Below are 12,078 nucleotides of genomic sequence, written 5' to 3'. Positions count from 1 at the left end.
CGACACAGCAGCAGGGGCCACGTGCATCAGGAATAAGAACCCCCTCCCCTCCTTTGTCCAAGTGTGTGCTCACCATTGCTCCATCTGTAAGGGCACACCCTTCTAAAGAAGTACCTTGCCTTGCTGAGAATTAAAAAGAAAATTTTATATTCAAGTGCTATTTCTTTTGTGGCACCGAAACTTTATATATATAACACTATTATAGAGACAAACATTAAACTGAAATCCACAAATATTTCTATTGATGGGCCAGTTTGCCAGAGTTTGTTGCATTATAGAATTGTAGTGCAGAAAATATATTGAAAAGATATAAAATAACCTGAAAACAAAAGGGGTGGACCAAACCTTTTGGTCTAGAGTTTAGTTCAATATTGTTGTACCTAACCCACAAAAGCAAGTGTTAGAATTTAGCAATCCGGGTAGAAGAAGAGCCAGTCGATTCCTTTACCTTCACGATCCAGGTAGATGGTCTCATAAAATGACTCAAAAAGCTCTTGATCTTGACTGTGAAGGTGACCAAGATGAATAAATTGGTTCTGCCTTGATCAGATTTGTCTGCAAACAATCTATTTACATAATTTGGCGAGCTGTATAAATTCTTAATATCCATTTCATACACCCACAAATTTGCTTTACTCCTACAGTAACTCCGTGTTAATTCTGGACATGTGATAATTTGGATACAAAGTGAACCAGGCTATTAGAGGATACTCTAAAACTGCCCTCAAGAGAAGAAAATGGAGGTTAGCAAAGCTGGTGATAAACAAGAAGGATGCAGTGATGAATACGCAGAGAGAAGCAGAGAGAGTTGATTAGGAAGTTGGCTGGGTGGGTTCCAGGGATAACAAGCAACCACCTCAAGGCCTGCAATCTAACCAGGACAAGGAGAAAAGAAACCATTTAAATATTAAGACTATAGTATAGTACAGTGAAGAAAAGTAAGCAGGTGAAATGGGAGGGTAGAGAGACAACAAGAAAAGCACACGGGAATATAATGATCACATTATATCAACATATTTTGAGACAAATTCTTAGAACAACTGGCATGATTGTGTGTTAGCTGCAATCTCTCTTTGAGATCACCTAACCTGCTTAGTGCAATTTGTTAGCCTGGAACCCCAAACTGAGAGAACAGAGAGGGACTATAACTATAATGTCAATACAAATGAATTAGTATTATAACAAAAATTCTTAGGAGGCAAGGCTCATTTTCAAGAAAGTACCCCACTTATTTACATAATATTCAGCATATTATTCCAGAGCAACTAAAGAATTCTGGTTGTGTTGGAATTCACTATAAATGGGAGGTAGATTGTATTATGACAAATAATATTTAGGGTTGTTATAGCAATTTTTTTCTCCTGGGAGTTTACTTATCTTTTACAGCTACTCAGTTATACTTGATTTTATTCATTCATCCATCCATCCATCCAACAGTCCAGGGATCTAGATGTACATGTGCATTTAGCTCTGTGAAACAGGTGAGGTATTAATGATGATATTCATAAGGCCCCCTTTTACAGTGCAGAGAGATGACCTCTCTGCGGTGAGTTTCTTGCTGGACCTGGGACTAATGCTCAGTGCTCTGTTCACTGGACTCTACTCTTTATCCTTGTCTGGCCTGATTCTGAGATTTCTCTTGCCAGCCACCAAACACCTGTGATTCTCCCTAAGATTTCTCTTGCCAGCCACCAACCCCCTATTTTCAGATAAGAAGCAATGGAAAGGATATCCTTTTCCTTGTAGGTATCCACGATCATGCTATTCTGGGTATAAGAGGTATGGAAAAATGTGGGACTCACTGTTCACGAAGACAGCAAACCTCAGGAAGGACAGGTAGCGTTCCCCTTCAATGGGGTTCCAGCCGACATCAGGGTATCCTTTGGCCAGAAGCATGGGGCAGCTCTGTAGGCCACAGCCTGCCAAGTAGGTCACCACCTGCCAGAAACAGTACAAAAGTGTTCTTTCGCACGCATTAGGATGGCTATTAAAAAACACACCTCAAAAAATAACAAGTGTTGGTTGAGGATGTAGAGAAGTTGGAACTCTTGTGCATTGCTGGTGAGAATGTAAAATGGTACAGCCACTGTGGAAAACAGTACTACAGATCCTCAGAAAATTAAAAACAGAATTGCTATATGATCCAGCAATTTCACTTCTGGGTATATACCCCCAAATAATTGAAAGCTAAAATGTGGAAGCAACCCACGTGGCCACTGATGGATGAATGAATGAATAAGCAAAACGTGATATATACGTACAATGGGATATTCAGCCTTAAACAGGAACAGAATCTTGATACATGCTACAACGTGAAGAACATTGAGGACATTCGCTAAGTGAAATAAGCCAGTCACAAAAAGACAAATACCGTATCGTTCCATTCATAGGAGGTAATTTGAGTAGTAAAACCCATAAAGACAGAAAGTAGAATGGTGGTTGCCAGGGACTTGGGGGAGGGGAGGGAAGAATGGAAAGTTATTGTTAAGTGGGTCTAGAATTTCAGTTTTACAAGATGAAAAGAGTTATGGAGATAGATGGTGGTGACAGTTCAACAACATTACAAAAGTATTGAATACTACACATACAGTTAAAAATGATCAAGATAGTAAATTATATATTTTGTGTATTTTAACACAATAAAATTTAAAAATAAATCTTACACGTATGTAAGAAACAAACAAAGAAAGAACTGCTCAAGTTTTTATTTTTTTTTTTATAAGATAGCTGTGAGGCCTGTGAAATTCTAAGAACTGAAAGGCTTCCATTTCCCTGGAGGCTAGAAAGAGCCTCCAATTCATTTTTTGTTTCCAAGTGATTAACAAGATTGATTATCATTGTTATGTAGGAACACACCATGTACTGTCAGTTCCTGGTTTTTCCAGTTCTGGCAAGAGGGAGCTGTCATTTAAAAATAAGCCTAGCTAGCGTACATCTGGGGAGACAACAGTGCAGGAAAAGAAGGGCCCACTGGGGGCGGGCCATGTTCACTTGGCCATGGTATTGCAAGGCTACAATATTCAGTCACTGACTGACCCAGAGTGGGCCCTTGAGTAATCAGGGGTGTCTACTCTCGTTCTGCATCCACAACAGCTGTCCAAAGTCAAAAGCCAAGATGTTGAGGTTGGGATGGCCAGAAAAAGAGATCCCCATCCATTAAGGACTGGGACTGGTGGTGGTCTCTTTGCTTCCAGGTTACCAGACACTTATCACGAGATCTCTGTGCTAGGATCTTACAGAAGATTTTAGATTCTGTTCTACTTTTCAGCAGCTTTCAGGCAAAAAGCCTGGCAAATATACCTTTGATTAAAACGCAGTTGCTATTCTAATTTCACCTTTGATATCTTATGTATACACAGAGAAGAGGAGAATCCACAGTGCTCCAAAATCCTCAAAGTCAGAGATGGTGTTTTTTAAGATTTTTTTTAACCTCCAGGGCCTAGCACATAGTAGCTGTTCAATAAATGTTTGTTCAATGAATCACTTACTTGCTGATGTCAAATATTCTATTTTGCAAGTATAATAAAAATAAGGCCAAACTCAGCAAGAATCTATCACCACACTTTTTCCTTCTTAAACCAGTAAAGATAATATTCTGCTTAGAGTTCAGATTTGATTTTGTCTTTAAAATGTCAGGGAAGCATCAATAAGGGCCAGAATTGGGCAGAGTTTTCAAGATTGCAGGTGCAGACATTTCACAGGCTGCTATAATTGCCCATATGAGAGAGAGAGAGAGAGAGAGAGAGAGAGAGAGAAAGAGTGTGTGTGCATGTGTGTGTGCATATGCGTGTGTGTATGTGTTGGGGTAGGGCTACTGTTCAATCCTAAATGATCTAATTTCTGGCGTGATCAATAGAAGGAAGAAACTCCAGCATACCAGTCCTTTGCTGTTCTTTCCTGTGAACCAAACTTGGGTAATTTCCTGACATTGGGCTGAATAAAGTCTATAGCAGTGTGCTAAGCCACCCCAACTACTTGAAAACGGTGTGGCAAACCTCATCCCCTTTACAGATTTCCCAAAGCGCCCATTTCTTCCCTCTCCAGCTTGCTGGCCTGCGTTAATCACATCTGACTTCTTCCAATGGAGGCTCCATGTCTTTGCTGAGCAACACTGTTTCAAAAGATGAACTGAGGCTGAGAATAGGATATGGAGTTCAAAACCTTGTGGCATTGCCTTGTCCAAAAAGACCCATTCAGCTGCTTTTCACACAAGCATCGGTTATCGTCATACCACCTAAAACACTGAGCTATTTATTGTCATCTAAATGTACGAATAACAGAGTTTGGCTGAGGTCTCTCCCTCTAGATGCAGAGACCATGAATAGACACAGCATTTATGGAAGCTCTCACGACAGGTGGCATGGTGCTTGAGTCTTGTGTGTATGCAGGAGGTGGCTGGTACCCTTCACAACACAGGCCTACAGAGCCTGGAGGAGCAACTTCTAACATTTCCCTCTGGTCTGGTCATTTTCACTTACTCCGTTTGCAGCTGGGATTGCTTATTAAAGTTAACCGTAAGTTATATTGACTGGGACTTCTTTCAGCAGATTTTTTTCTTTCTTTTTTTTTTTTTTTGAGACGGAGTCTCGCTCTGTCACCCAGGCTCCCAGGCTGGAGTGCAGTGGCATGATCTCGGCTCACTGCAACCTCTGCCTCCCGGGATCAAACAATTCTCCTGCCTCAGCCTCCTGAGTAGCTGGGACTATAGGCACCAACCACCATGCCTGGCTAACTTTTGTATTTCTTTTTAGTAGAGATGGGGTTTTGCTATGTTGGCCAGACTGGTCTTGAACTCCTGACCTCAAATGATTCACCTGCCTCGGCCTCCTGAAGTGCTGGGATTACAGGCGTGAGCCACCATGACTGCCCTCTTTTAACAGAATGTTAAAAAGCAAGGTTCTTCTATTATGGTATTATTATGGTATTGGGTTGTTTGATAAACATCATATTTGATAAGGCCAGTAAATAGATTCTTTCCTTGATTCCTGCTTTTAACTTAATGATTTATAAGGGACCCAATGAAGTCCATTGGAAATACTGATTGAATCTGACAAAATAAAAAAAAATGCTTTCACTTAAATTTGTCGCCTCAAAATATTATTGTAAAAATGTCTGATATTTCAAAATACTTTAAAGAACAAAATAAAATGACCAACTCAAAGACAAACCCCTCTGTCATGGGCTAAATTGTCTCCCGCAAATTTCATGTGGAAGCCCTAACCCTCAATATCCCAGAATGTTTCTGTATTTGGATATAGGGGCTGTAAAGAGGTGATTAAGTTAAACTGAGTTGTTGGGGTCATGTCCTTCAAGAGGAGGAAATCTGGACACACAGAGAGATAGCAAGGATACGTGCACACAAAGAAAAGACTACGTGAGGACACAGCAAAACAGTGGCCATCTGCAAGCCAGGAGGTGAAGCCTCAGAAGAAACCAAACCTGCGCACACCTCGATCTTGGACTTCCAGCTTCCAGAACTGTGAGAAAATAAATTTCCGATGTTTATGTCACCCAACCTGTGGTACTTTGTTATGGCAGCCCCAGCAAAGTAATATCCTCTCTGACTACAAGGAAAGTTCCTCCCATTAGAAATATGCTGCACAAACACGGGCGTTTTGTCTGTCTGGTTCATGATAGGCCCTCAGTAATTATCAGTTGAATGCATTTGAAATAGAATTTACTAACTGAAAAATGTCAACGAATTATTGGTGGGTAATTATCATCTCATCTTAATAGATCAGACATGGTTTTGCAGCTTGGCCAATGATTCTCTGCCAAGGCCTGAAACAGCAGAATCTTCGTGAGTGGTAAATCTGTGTTCTGTGTGGCTGCCTCAGCTAGAGGAAGGCCATCTGCTGCCACAATCGTTTAATCAAGACAACCCCTCTCTCTCTTTCCTCACCCTGTCTTCTTTGAGCCACCCCACGTTCACTATGCGACACGAAGAAAAAAATGTGTATTTATTTCTCAATTTTCCCTCTCAGCTTCTCAGATACTAGATTTGCTGGGTTTTCTCATCCTTTTGGCTGCTCCTCTTCCTGTTTTTTGTTGGTGCCTTTTCCTCAGCGACTCCCTTAAATATGCTGGTGGTCCTCAGGGCTCTGGCCTGGCTATGCTTCTTTTCTTGCTCCAGACCAGCCCTTGGAGTCACCTCATGTACCCCCAGCGCTTCAACCACCCTCTGTGTGCTCTATCTGCAGCTCAGAGAGCTCTCCTGAGATATACTGCCAGGTCGTCAATTCCCTACTTGACAATGCCATTTGGGAGCCCTGGGGCCCCTTAAACTTGACAGACCCCAAACTCATCGCCGGCCTCCTCAGATCTGCTCTACCTCCTGCACTCCTTGGAGGAAAACATGGGCTGAACTGATATCTAATTAATGGCTGCAACTTGTCCTGTGATAGATCGGTCCCCTGGCTTCAAACGCTTCTCACACCCACTGCATCAATATTAATTGAAGCCAGCACAGTCTTGGGCTTTGATTACTACCAAAACTCTCCTCCTTGCCTCAAGACTTGTTTCTGTTCAGTTCTTCTTACTGAAACTGGGGTGTTTTCTAAAATATGAATTGTATCGTGTTGCCCCTTTGCCTAATACTCTCCAGTGGTTTCCACCACTCTTGGCTCTACGGTGACCTCCTGTAATAAAATGGGTAGGAGCACTGCCTCCACAGCCCAGCGCTCTCGATGCCTGGCTGTGCCACTGACTAACCGCATGACACTGAGGATGCCACCCAATCTCTTTATGCCTCCACTTCCTTGCCCGTAACTGGCAGGCAACAATGAAAGGGCTTGGTCTGAGGGTCACGTGAGTTCATTTGTGGGAAGCATTCAGAATAAAGCCTGGCACAGTGTATGAGCATGAATTTCTTTTAGTAATAGAAATGGTAGCATAAGTTCAATTCCTCACTGCTTCTGCTGCATTCTCACCACATCCCCCAGGTACTCTGTGCTTCAGTCATACCCAGTCTCCTATTCCCCAGCACGCCATACTCTCCTCTCGGACATGCAAACATCCCTGGCATGCTTCCCCAACAATGCGGCTGATCAGCTTCTACTCATCCCTCAAGTCATGACTGTTTCTGAGTGACCTTCCCAATCCCCTAGTCAGGCTCAGGTGCCCTTTTCCGTGTGCTCCCAAACCCCCTACATAATGATGACCTTTGATTTGTCTTTGACTTGCCCACGTCCCTCCTCTCCACCCCCCTCCCCCTCCAGGTTGCTCTGCTCCACTCAGAAGGTCACACTGTGAATCCTGTCAGCCCTCCGGTCAAGGACATCATTTAAAGAAAGGGATGGGGAAAAGACGTAGTGAGGCCGCCTCAACCAGCTCCACCACCAGGAGCTTCATCCACACTCCCAGCAGAGGGCAGCTCAGTTTGTCTCAGTTACACATGGAAAGGACACTGATTATACAGTATTCTGCCATGTCTCTTCCTTCCATAGGTAGATTTATAAATCTGTAAATTACGCAGAACTTTATTAGGAACCACCGGCATCTGGTAATGTTCCATGTAGACCAACGAGGCTGGGCTTCCACACACGAAGAACACAAATGTCCACATGTCTCTGAAGTTGGCTACCTGTGTTCACAGGAGATCCCTTGGTCATAATCGTTGTGCTGCTACCGGTTACTCACATTCTTTCACACTTTCCCTACAAGCCCACCAAGATGACGATACAGTGACAGAGACTCCATCCGTGGTCTGCTTATCCTTAGCTTAGCTGCACTACAGGCCGAAGAGAACACCACACTGCCACCCCAAGGGCCGGTTACCTTCTCGAGGTCTGGTTCCTCTAAGCTCAGCGCTAACTCATTGTTGTCCATCACAGAGGAAGCTGCCACATCCAGCGGGGTGGATCCCCTCATCGACGGGGAGGCTGAGGGAGGAGGGGAGAATTAGCAAGAAAAGGACAGAGGAAGACACTCAGTGCTGAGCTGAGACTGCAGTGCACGTAAGCGGACAGGAGAGGGCAGCAAACACACTGAAACCTGGCTTACATGACCGTTCTCCAATGGGACAGTCCGCTTGCATTAAGAACAGCTCTATTAGCTATCCTTCCTCCCCACATTCATTGCCGTGAATACGAATTAATACAAAATCGGTTCACACTACCAACCGGGACCATGTATTTCCAAGTGCTTTTCTAACACAAAACTTCTTGAGGCCCCCATATCAGATGCCACTCGACCAACTAAGCCCAGTGGAACCTGTATATTTCTGGGGCTACCACCTAGAGTTTAAAAATAGCATCAAACAGCATTAGCTCATATAGTTTCACCAGGTCACCAATGTTGTTTTTGACTTGTTTGTTTGGTTCTCAGGCTAGAATTAAGAAAAACTTCAGGTGGCATTTTACAAAAAGGTTAGTAGCCTGAGGTTGCATTTGAGAAATAAAAACCCGTGAAACTTCAGTTTTCAAGTGCAAGTATTTGTGTATTACACACATTCATTTCGTTTATACCCAGAACAGTGAGTAAGGCATATGCAGTGACTTGCTTTTCTAGTGGTAGTGGTGGATTTACACTGTTTATCCACGATTGCTCTTGGCCAGTCTGCCTCCCCGCTAAGGAAAGCACTTGCTGGGAGGTTGATGGACAGGTATGCAGCCTGCAGCCAGCCTGCCAAGACGAGATCCGATCCATGACCTTGGTCTCATCAGCACTGCTCCCTGGTCAGTTGAGTGGGCTGGGAAGAGCTGTGCCCCCAGACTATACCTGCAATCCCAGGGGCATTTTGTAAACCATGGGCCACTGGTCCCAAGAGAGATGAGGTAAAACTGTACGACTATGCCAACACTAAACTGTCACCAATCTTGGCTGGTAGCAACATCTCTACTTCTGTTGGAGAACGTTCTTGTGGCATCGTTACTTCAATTGTTTTAAATCAGGCAGAGTCTCTTCTAGTATTTACAAATATCACAGCGTGCATGTGGCTCCTTTCCCTGTATTTTCCTAAGTGGTCAAAAGGGGGAGTGTAACCTTCGAGTTTGGATGTGGAAGTTACAAGAAGACTTACGCACCTAGGCCAACACTGCTATTCTCCAGAAGATAACTCAGATGCTCAAACATGGCCTTCTGATTTTGCCGGCTAATTCGACAGAAATAGCAAAGGAAACGGCAGCAGCTAGCAACCATCTTTGGAAATGCAATCTGTAGGGAGAAGTAGAAAGTGTCAGACAAAAGAATCTATCATGAGGCCTTTCTGAAAACTCTGACCTCAGAGTCTTAAGTGGGTAAAGTGTGAACACTTGGAAAAATGAACTTTCTCCTTCCATTTTTTTTCTCAAGACTTATTCATAGGAGTTATAGTTCCTGAAATATCTTTCCTCCAAGAGAAATAGATGTCAAACAAGAATCCCAATCATCCTCGGAAGTCATGTGAAATTGCATGACCTTCTACCAGGCTATTGTTTCCAAGTAGGAAGGGAGTGGACAGAATTCAGAGACAGAGAGAGATGAGAGAGAGAGAGAGGAGAGAGAGTGAGTGAGATGAGAGAGAGAGGAGAGACAGAGAGGAGAGAAAGTGAGGAGAGAAAGTGAGGAAAGAGTGAGGAGAGAAAGAGGAGAGAGTGAGGAGGGGGGAGAGAGAGAAAGGGGGGGAGAGAGAGAGAGAGAGACAGACAGACAGACAGACAGACACAGGTGATCGTAGACACATAAGGCCCACCAGTATATCAAAGCCCAAGTGCCCTGGGTCAAGGCTGGCCTCTACAGTTACGCAAGTCTGAAAGGCATCGCTCTCTGAGTCTTCCCTGACTACTTTTGTCATTGATAATTGCTCTTCTATGGGATTCCATAGCACTTGTAATTTGATTCATGCAGTCTAGCATGAAGATGCCATCTTACATTACTGTTGATTGTACTTGGCTTTTCTACTTAACAAAGTAACCAGCATCTCTAGGTTGGGCCAAATCTTAGTTTTGATCCTACAGTGCTCAATAAATGGTGCCAGTGTTAACCTTGCTCGGGATCCTAAGACAACCTTGATTTCCTCCTTTAATATCACAGAGGATGCTCTAAGCAATAAGGTTCAGAAACTTGTAGTCTATCTGCTCGCTGAGGCATCCAGACATGTGCTCAGGGATCTTCTGGAGAGATTTCACTTTCCCAAGAGATCAGAAGGAAGCCCATGAGGAACGTGACCCTGGCTTCTGTTCCTTCTACACACCCACCCCCTCCCCAGTAGCACTGATGAAACTGCACCAGAAATCATCCCTTCCTAGGACCCTGGCACTCTGGAATTTCCAACATTTGAAGCCATACCCGATCTACTGCCTGTGGAAGCAGTTTAACCGTGAGGAGGTCCCCAGCCCAGCTGGGATAAATGTCCAGTTGTGTCCTATCCCCACAACTCTCCCCTTAGCAACAGGAGCTCCCCCTGATGCGGGCTCCTTATGAGGGAGCTGGCAAGGAAACCTGGCTTCTTCAGGAGTTCGGTTGACAGAGGAAACATCAACACTTCTGGGGAAACACTGCCAGGATCACTATTGAGATCTTGTTCTCCTTTAGAACAGCCTTCTCCTGACTCAGCACAAAACACACCAGGCTCCTAAGTGGAAGTGAGTGATTCCATCTTGGAAAGAGCAGGGCTGCCGAATACGGGAAGTAAACTTAGCAACTGAATAGCCCAGTGGGATTAATGAAGAAAGTCTCCAAGCTTCAAGAGCTCTTACACAATGGGATTCCGTCCAGCAGCATTATCCCATCGCTTGGCTCCTTCTTGGCACTGTGCCTATCCCTTCCTCTCCCTGGAAGAGAAACTGAGGCAAGGGACACCAGCCACGTGGCTCTGAACAAGTCACCTCGTGCTCCTGCCTCAAGGGACAAGTTCTGGCTAGGTTCTCCTTTTAGCATTACCTGAGATTTCTCTGTACCCAACACGTTCACCATCACCTCCATCACCGTCTCGTGCATGCCCAGGACTCTCATGAGGTTGGGATGCTGGTAAAACACCTTGTTGTTCATTATGTCTCTAGGATAAGGATCAGAGAGAGTCTTCAGCACCTGCTTATTTATATGCTATGAAAATTCAGGGATGAGAACACACAAACACACGAGAGGGCAAAATAATATGAAAGTAACAGGCTGAAAAGATAATAAGAAAGCACTAGTTCAGCTGGAATATATGTGGAGGGCCATTTTAGCTGACTGAAATATTCTGTGCTCCTCTATTTCTAAGTACTTGCTTTTTCTCTTTGAAACATTTCTTTCTGATGACCTATTAAACATCCCTTGTTTTATTTTTTCTTGTAATAATTTTAGATATCAATGAAGCTTTTGGACAATAGTCTTTAAAAACTCACGACATTAAGATGTAAGAACAATTACATCTTTAAGTCATCCAATATAAATTCACAGAGTAAAGCTGCATGCAAATCAAAATACAGAAACAGCCTGGTAATTTGCTGTGTACTCCCTTGCTGGGTGGTTACTTTCTGGCTGCCCATTCCCCTTCTCTTGAGGGTTGCAGGAAACACCACCTCCAATTGCCAGTTTTTACTTCTGCTATGTCTACTACGAAGGCTGGGGAGAGAATAATTATCTAACTGTATTGTCTTCCCATAAAAGTCGCTTCATTTATGTAAGATTTCTCTTTGGAAATGAGTTTGACGAATGAGTGCATTTCCCTCCAAGGATCCTGAAGGTCCCTTTCCTGCACCTTGGTGATGCTCCTTTGGTATGCTGGCTCAAGGGTGGTAGGATGAAAAGTTAGGTAGGAGGTTGTCTGTAGGTCTAGTTCTTGATTCTAATAAAGTAAAACTGTAGGCTGGTTAGTGAATCTTTTTGGGCCTTGGTGTTCTCATCTGCAAAACAGAAGTGCTACCCTACGTGATTATAGGAAACCCTTTTGATGTCTAAAATGCTATGAATTTTTTTTGACTACATGGCTTCTAAGGGAGAGCCATGAGCTACTGTTAAGGGGAAAGTTATCTCAATGAACTAACAAAAACGACTCTAGGTTAGTCCTGAGAAAAGGGAGAGATCAGGTGGCAATTTTTCAGAGGGAAGTTTCGGAAGATTTCGAGTCAAAAGCTCAGGTGCTCAGATCATTTCTGTCTTGGGTTGAACACACCG

General features: G+C 43.6%; 1 protein-coding gene across 20 annotated transcripts in view; it reads right to left on the bottom strand.

Annotated features, from left to right (window-relative positions):
• RYR3 (ryanodine receptor 3) overlaps window positions 1-12,078 on the bottom strand; it is a 555,136-nt gene that overhangs the window by 157,246 nt on the left and 385,812 nt on the right. For all 20 annotated transcript variants that reach the window (XR_001751370.2, XR_001751371.3, NM_001036.6 and 17 more), the window contains 4 exons: window positions 10,861-10,975; window positions 9,024-9,153; window positions 7,777-7,880; window positions 1,803-1,938 (listed from right to left, as the gene is read on the bottom strand). Coding sequence is in view for 18 of the 20 variants with exons in the window: in NM_001036.6 (NP_001027.3) it covers window positions 1,803-1,938; window positions 7,777-7,880; window positions 9,024-9,153; window positions 10,861-10,975 (485 nt within the window). In the remaining 2 variants the exon portion in view is untranslated. The remainder of the gene's footprint in view (window positions 1-1,802; window positions 1,939-7,776; window positions 7,881-9,023; window positions 9,154-10,860; window positions 10,976-12,078) is intronic.

The sequence above is a fragment of the Homo sapiens genome, chromosome 15 (assembly GCF_000001405.40).
Source record: "Homo sapiens chromosome 15, GRCh38.p14 Primary Assembly".
In the NCBI taxonomy this organism is placed as follows: domain Eukaryota; kingdom Metazoa; phylum Chordata; class Mammalia; order Primates; family Hominidae; genus Homo; species Homo sapiens.
The sequence above is the reverse complement of the archived record's forward strand: the minus strand, read 5'-3'. Positions and strand labels throughout refer to the sequence as shown.